This window comes from Homo sapiens, chromosome 6, assembly GCF_000001405.40.
Source record: "Homo sapiens chromosome 6, GRCh38.p14 Primary Assembly".
Classification (NCBI taxonomy): Eukaryota; Metazoa; Chordata; class Mammalia; order Primates; family Hominidae; genus Homo; species Homo sapiens.
This window is the reverse complement of record NC_000006.12, coordinates 161,213,042-161,227,393: the sequence shown is the minus strand read 5'-3', so window position 1 is coordinate 161,227,393 and position 14,352 is coordinate 161,213,042. Positions and strand designations below refer to the sequence as shown.

Here is a 14,352-nt window from a genome sequence, read left to right as displayed (position 1 = left end):
CCATCTGGGTTGGGGGCTTGTGCTTTAGCACCTCCTCTGGGTAAGGGTGCCTCAATTTTGAATCTGTTCATGTGCTTATTGACCAAGGTGTCACCAGGTAGGTCTGAAAACCTAACAAGACAACCTAGTGGGACAGAGCAGTCTTTGGCACATGAGTCATAAAAGGAGACCTACTAGAGGCCGGTGTTTCTGAATCTCCACCCTGAAAGGTATACGACCTGCTGATTTTGTGGGCTTTCCTGTGTATGCCATTCTAATCCCAGACACTAGCAGACTGATTCACTTTTCTGCCAGCACTGGAAACTGTCTCCAGGTGTGTGACTGCTAGCTGACCTGCTAGGTGAGGCCTGAATTTGAATTTCCCCCTCCTTATGCATAAAGTACTTTTTGCACATTGTATTTTCAAACTGTAAAACAAAACAATCTTTCCTTCTTCTATTCCTTCTTCCTTCTTCTTCCCTGCTTTGCCTAGGAGCTCCCCCGAGGGAGGTCAGCTGTCATTCTGATGGCCTCAGGATGATGCTGTGGGTGCTGGGCCAGCACTTTCATTTTGCTGTCATTGCTGGGCTGGGGAAACTCCTTCTGCCTGCAGACCCTCCTGCCCGGCAGCACAGGGAAGGCAAGGTGGCCTCTCAGGAGCCTCCTCTATGGTAACCTCTCTGTGGGGAATCCTGGCCACATCAATGTGCTATCATCTGCTTTCATTCTATGTGTTAAAATTTTATACAAAGTGAACCTAGCTCTCCAGCCCTGCCTGGCTGCCTTTCTGACTCTCTGAGAAGTGAGAGAAGATGGAGGGCGGCAGCTTCCTGATGTTTGTCAACTTGACCAGGCAACAACTGGGTGTGGGCCACCCCCTACCCCACAAATGAAAATACAAGGGAAGTCTGTGGTGTTCTCGATAAGAAAGCTGTTGATCCCCCAAAGAGAGTGTCGCTGTGGCTTTTCCAACCCCTGCATGACCTTGAGAGAAGCAGTTTGTTCTGCTAACTCTGCAGCCGGCTTCCTCTATGCTTCTCCTCCCTGCCTGATTAATGACAGGGCTGCTTTTTCTCATTTCAATTCAATCTAAGCAGGAGTTTTCACTCTTTGAGTTCCAAACAGGTTTTGACTCCTTCACTTGTCCTGATAGGTAGTTACTCAGCTCCAAGATGTCAGAAAGGGAGTGTCCCTGAGTGGCCCCTGTCCTAACCCTTCATATCACTGCCTTTGAGCCTGTCAAAATGTGGAGTTGGGCAGGACCTACTGGCTACCTCTGCTGGGAGGACACAGCCTCAAATTTGGGTCCCCTCTTTGAAGGTCCAAAGAGTCATCCTTATCAGTTCCCAGATGGTGATCGCCTTCCCAGAAGAGGGTTCAGTAACCGGCTGTAGGTGGACATGATCCTAAAACTGATCATCTCTCCCTTCAGAGTAGCTGAACAACAGTGGCTTTGGCGAGTCAAGTCGGATGGAAAGGAATTTAAAAGACCCGTGACCCATGATGAAGGGAATTTAAAGCCTCTCAGACCCGCCTAGGCCTCCTTCTGCCTGTGGCTCTAAGATTCTAACCCAAAGGCAAAGCCCTGCCTCCTGGACTGAGCAAGCGGCCCACGAGTTTATCTGTTGGGACAACCTTTTCCTCTTTTTCCTCTGTCACCTGCGGGTACCTTTTACTTCTGAAGTGTGTCCACGCTGCACAGCTGAAACAAGCAAACACTGCCTGACTTCACCTGGAGTCACACACCCTGACGGCTCCACATCACGAGATCCCTCTGCTTCCACCAGTGATGGGCTAGCGGGGTTGCTTCCAGAAACTGACGAAAAGCAACCTTCCTTCTTTTCTTTTCTAGTTCTAAGGGGTGTATCTCCTGGGAGACCTCAGGAAGTGACAGGGAATTGTTATAAATAAAGTTTCGGTGCTGCAAAAGAAATAGCACTCGAATATAAAATTTTCTTTTTAATTCTCAGCAAGGCAAGTTACTTCTATAGAAGGGTGCACCCTTACAGATGGAGCAATGGTGAGTGCACACTTGGACAAGAGAGGGGAAGGGGTTCTTATCCCTGAAGCCCATGGCCCCTGCTGCTGTGTCCTTCCCCTATTGGCTAGGGTTAGACTGCACAGGTTAAACTAATTCTGATTGGCTAATTTAAAGAGAGTGACGGGGTGAGTGGTTTGGCGGGAAAAATGGTTATGACAGGGGACGGAATCAGAATGAGTCAGGGTAGAGTAGGTAATTGGAATGAGTCAGGGTGGAGCAGGTCATCGGAAGGAGTCAGGGTGGAGCAGGTAATCCGAATGAGTCTGGGTAGAGCAGGTAATAATCCGAATGAGTCAGGGTGAAGCAGGTAATCGGAATGAGTCAGGGTGGAGCAGGTAGTTGGAAGGAGTCAGGGTGAAGCACGTAATTGGAATGAGTCAGGGTGGAGCAGGTAATCGAAACAGGTTGCTTTACGAGGAAGTTAAGATTAAAAGTAGAAGGCAAAGAATTGAACATACTGACATATTGATTCTTTGAAAAGAAATTTAGAACTCATATCTAACAGAATCTATAACTGGACCAATGAAATGAGTAAGCTATGTTGAATCAAGCAACAAAGATGTTACTTTTACATCTAAGTCATTTTCTGATTTATTCAAGAAGTATTCAGCACCTAATATGTGTCAGGCATTGCGTTTGGTACTTGGGAAATAGTGGGAAGCAAAGGCAGCTACTGTCCTGCCCTCAGAGAGCTTGCAGTCTGGTTTTCTTTCTTTTTTTTTTTTTTTTTTTTGAGAAGGAGTCTTGCTCTGTCACCCAGGCTGGAGTGCAGTGGCCAATCTCGGTTCACTGCAGCCTCTGCCTCCCAGGCTCAGATGATTCTCCTGCCTCAGCCTCCCGAGTAGCTGGGATTACAGACAGGTGCCACCGTGCCCAGCTAATTTTTATATTTTTAGTAGATGGGGTTTCACCATGTTGCCCAGGCTGGTCTTGAACTCCTGACCTCAAGTGATCCTCCCACCTCGACCTCCCAAAGTGCTGGGATTACAGGAGTGAGCCACCACATCTGGCTGCAGTCTGGTTTTCTAAAGATCTTATCATAATCTCTTACAAAACGGTTCTACTTGCCACATGTTATACTAATCAGCATTAACAGGACAGAACCATCCATCCATCCCATGTTTGGGCACAAATGGACCTTGTTCTGTTTTCTCCTCTCTTAGTAAAGCTTTATGTATAGGACAACAAACAAACAAACAAGCAACAACAAAAGACCATATCAGGTTAGCAAGTCAGCATGCCAAATGGAATGTAGCAGAAGCAATCCAGAAATTGCTTTAATTTAGATCTCACTTAAAATTCTTTATCAAGTTAAAGAATTTAAGTATCTGAATTTACATGATACTGGAATGATAGATGGGAGAAAAATAAAAGAATCACGATCCGTGCAGGCTAAGAGGAACAACACTTCCTGATTCTGCCTTTTTATTCTATGAACTTTTAGCCAGCTAGTATTTACTGAGCACTTACTGTTCCAGGAACTGTTTTGAGTAGTTAGGCACAGAGAGTTTAAGTGACTTGCCCAGGGTCACACAGGAAGTGATGGAGCAGAGATTGGGGCCAGGAGGTCTTTGAGTGGAGAGCCTTTCACTTTGGCACAACCCAGCCCTGCCCTGCATTTGAGGAGCCAAGCTCTGGAGGTGAGGCCATGTGTCCAACTGGTCAGTGTAGTAAGTGATGTGTTCTCAAACCTGTGGCCTCTGAGGTGCCACTCCACGGGGCTATGGAATAAAAAGAGAAGCATACTCATTAATGGACAGCTATTTTCAGCTGCAGTCATTACACTCGCTACATTTGTCACGTGTTGATTATGTATTAAGCATTGTGCTAAACCTTTCCTAGCCATTACCTCATTTAATAACACCGCTATGTGAACAGGCAATTCACCTGTTAAATGAGGCGAGAGGTTGGATGACTTGCCTAAGGCCGAACAGAGAGGAGGAGAGCTGAGATTCCAAAATCCCCTTTTCCACCACACTTTGAAATAAGCAAATGTCAAATGCTATGCAAGTTTTTATTTTAACACCCAAGGATGATGTTAAGCAAACATCTGCTAGGATCAAACCTGTGCATGCTAATTCGCTGCAGAATGCCTGTCGCCGCCCAGCAGGCATTCTTTAACAAACGTGCACCCAAGCTCAGTCCAGGGGGCCAGGCACTGGGGTCAGCACCTGGAGAACAGAGATGAGAGGGGTGCAGCTGCTGTCCTTGGTAGGGACCCAGTCTAGTGGAGAAGGCTCATAGACCCAGCATGGTAGAGCAGTGAGTTGATGATTAGACTGGAGGTACACAGGGAGTGCAGGGAAGGGGACAGCCCAGCCATCCTGTGCAGGGCGCAGCGACGTCCCCGTGAAGCAGCATCACAAGCCAGGTGCTGAGGAATGAGGGGAATTGTGAGATGTTGGCAAGAGGAGAGGTGGTTCAGTAGGTGGCAGGAGCATATGCTGGCATCACCAAGTGGCTAAATGGGTTTATTCAGGCAGCCAGGCACCCGAAGGAGATGGACCTATCAAATGTCATCATGGCCTTGCTGTGTCGTGAGGCCACCGTGCAAATGAATGAGGCCAGAGGAAGCATCCACAGACACCTGCAGGAGAGCAGGCAGGCATACAGTAGCGCCTAGCAGCAACTTGCAGCCATTGACCCTCTCACTAGATGGGCTCCAAGTATCCATCCCTCAGAAATTTCAATAATTGTGACCATCGGTTTACTTCAAGATTTATTTTTGTCTTGACCTGAACCATTGTTCAAAATGTGCCTTGAGAAACTGTTAATTGGAATTTGAAAAAAAAAAAAATCTGTTCATGCGTAATCTTTTATAGAAAGATGCCCAGCTGGGTCATTATTTCCTTGAACCACGTTATACCCTAAATATTATTAAGTAAAAATAGCACAATACAAAACTCTTGGTACATTCTAATACCAATTTTATAAATATAGACTGGAAGTAAAGTTGTCAAAGTGCTATTTTTAGGAATTAGAGATGATTTTAGAAAATTGTCTTATTATCTGGATGTCTTATATTTTACACAATGATCATGTATGTTATAAACTGGAAAAAATACAAAATAAAACCCAAACACCAAAAAAGGACAAAATAAGGAACAGCTTATGGAATGAGTAGAAAAGGAAAATATAAAGTGAGCCCATTGTGAAATCAAATGTGCTGAAATTCATCAGCACCTTTTATTGATTGATGGATGGATTGACTGCATCTTCCAGGCTGGGTGTGGCAGAGGCCCTGAGACCAGGGGTGACAAGGAAGGTGTTTCAGGCTGTGCCTTACAGGACCTGAGCAGAGCATAGTCAACCCTCATCCCAAATATTGCAGTCATTCGTGGAAAGGAACTGAGAGGAAAGAGCTGGACGCTTGGTGTCACACCTGAATTATGTCCTTCCAAGATGTTGAAAGCCCAGTGCTTGTGAATGTGAACTTGTTTGGAAATAGAGTCTTCATAGATGATCAAGTTAAGATGAGGCCATTAGGGTATGCCCTAATCCCACAAGACTGCGTCTTTATAAAATGTGGACACAGAGAAAGACATGCAGAGAGGAAGACGATGTGAAGATACGAGGACAATATCCCCTGCAAGCCAAGGAACACCTGGCTCCCAGCCGCTGGGAGAGAGCTGTGACACAGATCCTCCCTCACATGCTCAGAAGGAACCAACCCTGCTAACACCCCGATCTGAGGTTCCTGGAATCCAGAACTCAGACAATCAATTTCTGTTACTTCAGTTCCCCAGTCTGTGGTCCTTTGGCAGCCCCAGGAAATGAATCCAGTCTGCGTTCTAAGTCTTTTCTTCTACTGTGGTGGTGAAGTCCAAAGTGAAGTCCAGTTTCGTGATAAATGACACATTAATATGGTATCTATTTCTCTCTCCTCTCCCTTTTTCTCCTTTCTATCTCTCCCACCCCTACCTTTATTTTATTGATAAGATAGGAAATGAGAGATTATACGATAAAATACCTTGCTTTTATCCATGGACGAGGCCAAGAAATCCTTTTTCCCACCTCTTAAATCCAGGAACTCAAAGGAGTAAAGTGCGGCTGGCTGGTGACATTGGACGTGGAGGAAGGTGACAAACTGTATATAAACTGTGTAGGAACCTCATCTGGGGCCAGTTGCCCCACTCAGATCTAGCCAGTGGTTGCCATGCTGGAAACCCAGCCCCGAGGGGTGGATTTTCTGCTGACCGGAGGGAAAGCCTCACACGTTTCCTTCACCATGTGTTCCTTGCTCACCATGTTCATCCAGCGTTTGTGTCATCTGTTTAAATATGCTGTCTGGGGCCGGGTGCGGTGGCTCATGCCTGTAATCCAGCACTTTGGGAGGCTGAGGCGGGTAGATCACCTGAGGTCAGGAGTTCAAGACCAGCCTGACCAACATGGTAAACCCCGTCTCTACTAAAAATAAAAAAAATTAGCCAGGTGTGGTGGCACGCGCCTGTAATCCCAGCTACTCGGGAGACTGAGGCAGGAGAATTGCTTGAACCCGGGAGGCAGAAGTTGCAGTGAGCCGAGATTGCACCACTGCACTCCAGCCTGGGTGACAGAGTGAGACTCTGTCTCAAAAATAAAAATAAAATAAAATATATCTACGCTGTCCGAGTCTTCAGAATGGCTTTGCACAACCAATGGGGCAGTCTGCGTAGGAAAGATAGAATGAAACTGTCCTTCAAACATAGAGAAAGGCAGAAGGGCAATAGGAGAGGGACACCCGTCACAAATCAGGTGGGGGCATTGCCTACCCATTTTGCAATATTCGGTTCTGTCTTACTGGCAGCGTCTTTGTTTGGCCAAAAAGAGGGCAACAAGTCTTTGGTTCCTCTACTTGCTCTGCTTGAGGAACTATAAAATGAAGTCATCTCACCAAGGCCATCCGTTCTGTTGTTCCATATACTTCTAGGGTTTTTAATCTGAAGTATCGAGGAAGCTGTCTATCTGCCTCTCCAGCTCATTTCAGATGTAATGTTTTCTCTTCATAGTTACTGTTACACTCTGGCCCAATTCCTAGTGAAATGATTTTATTTAGAATTGGGCTTTTACTTGGCTAAACTTTTCCATATGATGCTTATTCCAAAATGAACCCTTCATGCCAACACATTTTTGTTTATTTAGGAGAAAGAAGGAGGTATTAGGAATGAGGTCTGATGATGACATTAGTGTGTTATTAGCTCAGGTCATCTGGTGATAGCGCAGGCTGTGTGGCTGACATACCTGGTGATTGGAAGCACATTAAATATCCAAATGAATCAGTCTCATGAAGCTGATTCAATGGAGAGTGATAAGCAAGGACACTGGAGTTCTAAGTTTTTTAACAGGAATAATGTAACTGTGATAGCAAGCCTTGTGTATTTTGAGTAATAATCCATTTATTTTTTAAATGTATCTATCTGCCTGCCTGTCTGTCTGTCTGTCTGTCTGCCTGCCTGCCTGCCTGCCTGCCTGCCTGCCGCCTGCCTGCCTGCCTGCCTGCCTGCCTGCCTGCCTGCCTGCCTATCTATCTATCTATCTATCTATCTATCTATCTATCTATCTATCTATCTCTGTCTATCTTTTTTACTGTGAATCTGTGTCCCTGGTACAAGAAATGACCTTACGTTTTAAATAGGGAATTTAGTCACTCTAAATTTCAAACAGGTGGCCCTAAAGAATCAGCAAGTTTAGGAATACACATGTGATACTGAATTGTATGAATGGATGCTTGGCTTAAGTCAAGTTGTCTTAGCTATTCATATGGTTTATAAATAAATTAATTCGCAAAGTGCCCATTTGTTTTTGGAAGCATTAAATTTCACTTCTGACTTAAGTTACGGCTTTTAAATTAGGTTGTGAGTTTGACTTTGGTGTCTTGTAAGGTTATAAGGCGATCGTGTGTGGTCTTCATGGTGCAGTGGATATTTCCAGGAGGTAAACAAGACAAGCCATTGGGGTATAGAAAAAACAAACCTGAGAGCTTCTATTTATGTTCCTTTTATCTCATCTCGTATCATGCCATCATATTCTATCATATCATAAATGTCTGGATAGGACATTTTATATATTTTTTAAATTATATAAAATACAAATTTTACATATATAAAAGTTGTATATGCTAATGGTGCATATTTAATTTTTTTTTTAAGGAATCAAAAACATTGAAAGACCACTGCCTTAGCTATGGGTTTTGGTTTCACCATACTGGAGATAGAATTTATATAGCACACTTAAAGTAAGGGGGAAATAGTTTTATGAAAACAAGCTCTAAAGCAAGGAAATCCTAATGGCAAAAAATATTTTTGTATTTTTCTCTATTTCAGTTTATCTTGGGCCCAGATGGGATCTGAGGCATTGTCAAACATTTTGAGAACTCCCTTCTCTGGTCCTATTCTGGTTCTCCTGAAAGGAGGGAAAATATTAGATTAAAAGTATTCTCCAATTCCACAGTCTGTTTTGAAGGAAAAATCCTAGAAACGCTTTGGTAGATACAGTGTTTTATCATACTGTTTGGTAGATACAGTGTTTTATCATACTGTTTGGTAGATACAGTGTTTTATCATACTGTTTGGTAGATACAGTGTTTTATCATACTGTTTGGTAGATAACAGTGTTTTTTCACCTCTGCCACCTCAGAGTATATGGTTACATGATATGGAAAGTGTTGAGGACAGCAGTTATTTTCTAGCATCCTTATGGCTCCCTTTATAGCTTCCAAGTGGCTGTTTTTGAGTAGATTTGATGTGGATACACTGTGCTAGGGCCGTGGAGCGGAGGATCCTGCCCCGGTGTTATGGTAACACGCACTTGGAGCCTGGAGTCTTGGCTTCTGAACAGTGGCCTAACCACCTTGGTGACACAGTCAACTTACCTGGGTTTGGTTTTTTAATTGTAAGATGAGGGAAATAAATTGTAAGGTGCTAGACAAACGTAAAGTAAAGGTATTCTTGCTGTGATTTCCCCACTTAGTCAGACCATCATGCCAGCAGAGGGAGTCGTGCATGTTTTAAAAGGGAGCTCTGGTAATTTGGTAATCTCTTCCCAACTTCTTCTTCATTGATTTCATATAGATAGCTTGGCACTGACATTTGTGGGAATATTTGCACCATAGAAATCGGCAGAACTATAAATCAGGGCTTTTTTTCCTCCCACCTACTGCCTCCCCTGCCACACAAGAGCTGGTTGTTAACCATTTTCCAGCACAGCACCATTGGCACCGTCACTGTGGACGGGGGTAGAGAGCTACAGTCATCTTGTGCAGGTTGTATGTCCACCCCAGGGCATGTGGTTCTCTTGCCAGAAGAACAAGGCACCAACTCATCAGACACAGACACCAGCCATCACAGGGCATTCCCGGTGAATGCATACGTGTTCAATTGGTCTTTGCAGGCATCACATAGAACATGCTCTACGCTACAAGGTGAGTTGGGAGATGAGGAAGAGACCTTGTCCTTCAACCCAGTCACAGTCTAGTGATGGTGAGTTCTGCATGTTATCCAAACAAGAACAAACCCAGAGCTGGTGTGTGCAGGGCCCCGCGGGAGCAGAGGCACCAGCTGTGCTGCCTGTGAGTCCTGTCCCAGGGCAGTGGCCTGGGCAGGCGGGGTCAGGGGAGGAGGTTTCTGGCTGGACTCCCTGATCCAATTCCAGGGCTTTGAGGATTTCTGAATATGCCATGCCTCTCCCAGCCAGTCCTTTCACCAGGGTAATTATGATGTTCATAAATGAGATTGTTCATGTACAATTTCTACACCAGTAGCCAATTTCTTTAAATGGAAAGGAACAGATTATATATACCTATGTCTCCAACTAGAGCTGAACATGATTAGTGAGAGAAAATGCAGGCATAACGCCAATGCCTTCATACTGGATTACCATGCACCTGATGGACTCCCCCAGGGACACACAGGGAGAAGCATGTCTTTTGGGCTTGGATATCGCCTGCAACGTTGTGACAGGCTGTTAACACAGGTCTCCACCACAGCCTCTCCCAATGCGTCCTCCATCTGACACACCATAAGGCTTTTTAAAGCACGCTCAAACAGTGAGATGCCCTTTCATTCAACTTGGTAGACATCTATTGAGCACCTTCTGTTACCATGTACCAGGCATTGATGGGAGCCCAGTTCTGACCCAAGGCTAGGTTTTCCAGCTCAGCATGTCCCTGGCTCCCAAGCGGATGACCGAGTTCTCCGGTGTTCCCCTGTCCTTTCGCGTCCCCACGCCTGTGCTCACTCCGCCCCTCCCCTGGCTTGCCTTCTCCACTGTCTGCTCATCTTTCATTGCTGAAACGCGGAGTCAGGCCCTAATGATAAAACACCTAAACGGAAATTGACAAGGACAGGAAAGCCTGAAGGTGAAGAACACGTGTAACATGAGAACCGCATCAGCAGGTGAGCAAAGGTGAATCAGAGCCACGTGTGAGGGGAAAGTCAAATTAAGACAGAAGCAGGGATTACTGGGTGATAGGTTTGGCTGTGTCCCCACCGAAATCTCAACTTGAATTGTATCTCCCAGAATTCCCACGTATTGTGGGAGGGACCTAAGAGGAGGTAGTTGAATCATGAGGGCCAGTTTTTCTCGTGCTAGTCTCGTGATAGTAAGTCTCACGAGATCTGATGGGTTTATCAGGGGTCTCCGCTTTTGCTTCTTTCTCATTTTCTCTTGCTGTCGCTGCTTAAGAAGAGCCTTTCGCCTCCCACCATGATTGTGAGAACTCCTCAGCCATGTGGAACTGTAAGTCCAATTAAACCTTTTAAACCTTTTTTGGTTTCGTTTCGGGCATGTCTTCAGCAGCAGTGTGAAAACGGACACTGGGGAAAATCATCTGAATTAAGAGAGTGCTGGGGTGGGGCCTGGGGCGTCGGGGCTGATGCTGCCCCAGCATTTTGGTTTCCACAGTGGAGCCCAGGGAGGAAGTTGGGAAAGAATGAGGAAAGAACGATTGCCCGGAAGCGTTTCACTGTCCTGAGGAGAGTGAGCCTGAAGATTGTAGAAGGCAGTTGCAGAGGTTGTCTGTCATCCTGGACAAGAGACGCACTTGTTGCAGACGTTTGCTTGAGGACAGAAGAGACTGGGGCTGCTGTTGCCTATTCTGTTTCATGGCTTTACTCTGAGAGCCCTGAAAGCATTGACCCTTTGCTTCAGTCATCCATTGAGTTATTCCCACCCAACCCCAACGTGGGTTCAGAACCCTTTCAGAGACATCTCCAACTTGTATTTGTGTCTAAGAGTGTTAGTCTCCTTTGTCAGACTATGAAGAAGCCTTGTCAAGGCAGGAGGGAAAAGTGCTCTTGGCAGCCTCACAAATCTGGCTTTAGCTGAAAGGTATTTTTTGTTTGTTTTCTTTAATCCTCGTCAACTGGACATGGTGCGGTTAAGAGAGGCAAGTATGTGTGAGCCTGGACAGCTTTCCAGCTCTAGGGGCAGAGGAGGTTTGATAGCCCTTCATGGCAGGGTGCATGCGAAGAGTTTTGCTTGCCGGCATAGATAAACTTGACTATGTCTGCTCTACTCAATTTGATGTATAGTTTGAAAGGTAATGCTGTATTACGAATAAAATAATGGGTATATCTACCTAAAAAGGAGAAATTACAATGGGTTGGTGGCTGGTAGGACTTTTAGAGTTTGAGCTATCAACAGGAAACTTGGATCTTGTGTTTTTGTGTTTTCTTTTTTTTTTTTTTTATGGTAAGGGAGGTTATTCTACTGTGTGGTTCAAGCAGATATACCCCTCAGCCACTGCAAGGATATCAGTGTTTCAAGCATGTGCTAGGCTTCAGAATATAAAGACTAGAATGTTTTAGGTTCAAAAAGAGCTTGTTATACATTTAAAATATGGGTTTTGCCTGTAATGTGTGCCAGAGAGACAGACCTGAGAACCACACTCATGCTGAAGGACCAGGATATCTGAACCTGATTACCGAGCATGAGATCAGGGTGAGTCACTGTCAGTCTGTGTTTGCTGGGTATATGCGTATGTTTTGTAAATCCAAGAGTATGGGAAATGGCAGAGAAGGAATGAGCCATGGCCTCAAAAACCTTGAGATTCAGCACAAATATGTCCGCTGGGATGTGTAAACATTTTCAACCCACAGATACGGGGAAGCTTAATTCTACAGAAACATTTGCTAACTAGGCAACAGATTACAACACATGCAGTGTATGAGTTATGGAAGAGTAGGATCATAAGTTAAATAGGGTCATTAATGTAGCTTGCCAAATTGTGAAGACTCTTGTAATAGTATTAAAATTGTACTCAAGCCTATAGAAATGTGAAGCATCTAGACAGTCTCTATGGGGTATTTAAATAAGTATTTAAAATGTCACATAAAAAACATAGCTTGTAGTCCTACCAAAGAAAAAATTGTTAGTATGAAGCTGGATATGGTCTGATTTTTTGAAACTGCAGATGGGCCTGTTGCCTTTGTCTCAGTCTTATCTAAGGCAGGCCAGCAGAACAGGTTTGGAGGTCAACGTAGATAGTTTTGAAATATAGTCACGTGCCCCATAATGACTTTTCAGGCAGTAGACCACATTTACAACGGTGTCTGCTAAGATTGTAATACAGTATTTTTGCTGTGCCTTTTCTATGTTTATTTTATTATTTATTTATTTATTTATTTTGAGACGGAGTCTTCCTCTGTCACCCAGGCTAGAGTGCAGTGGCACGATCTCGGCTCACTGCAACCTTTGCCTCCTGGGTTCAAGTGATTCTCCTGCCTCAGCCTCCCGAGTAGCTGGGACTACAGGTGTGTGCCACCATGCCCAGCTAATTTTTTTGTATCTTTTAGTAGAGACGGGGTTTCACCATGTTGGCTAGGCTGGTCTCGAACTCCTGACTTCAATTGATCCGCCTGCCTTGACCTCCCAAAGGGCTGGGATTACAGGCATGAGCCACCATGCCCAGCCCTATGTTTAGATACACAAATAGTTACCATTGTGTTACAGTGACCTACAGTATTCAGTACAGTCACATGCTGTACAGGTGAGCAGCCTAGGAGCAACAGGCTTCTGAAACCCCCAAAATTTGAGACAGGCCTCAGTAAATTTAGAAAGTTTATTTTGTCAAGGTTGAGGATGTGTGCCTGTGACACAGCCTCAGGAGGTCCTGACAACATGTGCCCAGGTGGTCAAAGCACAGCTTGGTTTTATACATTTTAGAGAGACACGAGACATCAATCAACAGATGTAACATGAACATTGGTTTGGTCTGGAAAGGCAGGACAACTCGAAGGAGAGGGGCTTCCAGGTCACAGGTAGGTGAGAGACAAATGGTAGCATTCTTTTGAGTTTCTGATGAGCCTCTCCAAAGGAGGCAGTAAGATATGCATTTATCTCAGTGAGCAGAGGGATGCCTTTGAATAGAATGGGTGGCACGTTTGCCCTAAACAGTTCCCAGCTTGAATTTTCCCTTTAAGTGATTTTGGGGGCCTAAGATATTTTCCTTTCACATTCCCCAACACCCCCACCCCCACTTTAAAAAATTTTTTTGGAGAAAGCATTTTAGAAGAAGATGAGTCTCTGTTCCCAGGTTTTGTCTGATCTCTCATGACTAGGATGGCTTATTCCTAGACAGGTAGGATCTAAGTTATTAGGAAAACTCATTTTTATAAGGTTATTCTATGAAGAGAAAATAGAGGAAGGAAGACAAACAACAACAAGCAAAAGAACAATCCTGGAAAAATCAATATAGGCCACATTACTCTGAAGCCCATACATCAGTAGGCAGGTATGAAAGTGGCTTATGTATGTAAATAGATTGTTGTCATTTTCTTTTGAAGTTTAAGTTGTCTGGCTTCAGTTCACAGGGCTTTACAAAAGCACAGCTTAGTTTTCAGTGACTCCAAATTAGGAAAAATTGGGAAAAAAAGGAAGGAACAAAAAATTGAAAACATTATTTTGAAGACTTGTAGCCCAGAAAACTTAGAATTCAGTCCAAACTGTAGAAAATAATAAAAATTGAAAAATGTAAGATAAAACTAGAATCTAACAACAGGTGTACTATAGTTTTGAAGCATAATTATTCTCTCTTCAGTTTCCCATTTTTACTAAAGACAAATCATGGTAGGACTGGTTTGCTTTATTATACTTGGCCTAATTATTTGTATACAGTGCAGCAAGAATAATTATTTTTACAAAGGCTTTTAAATTGGCTTTGATGGAACTGTGTTCCATAGGAGGAATCTCAGATAAGACTTTTTTAAAGCCGAGCCCAGCCATGGATTTGTGCCATCAAATACCTATGAGTTGGGTGATCAGCTCCTCTTGAGGTTCCAAGATAAACTTGAGGCTCCTGGACCTGCCAGAAAGTGACATTGTTTACCTACCACAGGTCAGGAACCCTGTGCAGG

The 14,352-nt window shown here is 44.3% G+C and overlaps 1 protein-coding gene across 1 annotated transcript in view, besides 2 other annotated features; it reads left to right on the top strand.

Annotated features, from left to right (window-relative positions):
- Window positions 1–14,352, top strand: part of AGPAT4 (1-acylglycerol-3-phosphate O-acyltransferase 4) — a 144,095-nt gene that overhangs the window by 46,668 nt on the left and 83,075 nt on the right. The gene's annotated exons all lie outside the window — the stretch shown is intronic.
- Window positions 708–1,013: a silencer, noted in NCBI's record as "fragment chr6:161647413-161647718 (GRCh37/hg19 assembly coordinates)". NCBI's record gives its function as "represses an EF-1alpha promoter that drives an FKBP-Casp9 reporter gene in an ReSE screen in HepG2 liver carcinoma cells {active_cell/tissue: HepG2}" and the evidence as "EXISTENCE:reporter gene assay evidence [ECO:0000049][PMID:32094911]".
- Window positions 4,016–4,258: a silencer, noted in NCBI's record as "fragment chr6:161644168-161644410 (GRCh37/hg19 assembly coordinates)". NCBI's record gives its function as "represses an EF-1alpha promoter that drives an FKBP-Casp9 reporter gene in an ReSE screen in K562 erythroleukemia cells {active_cell/tissue: K562}" and the evidence as "EXISTENCE:reporter gene assay evidence [ECO:0000049][PMID:32094911]".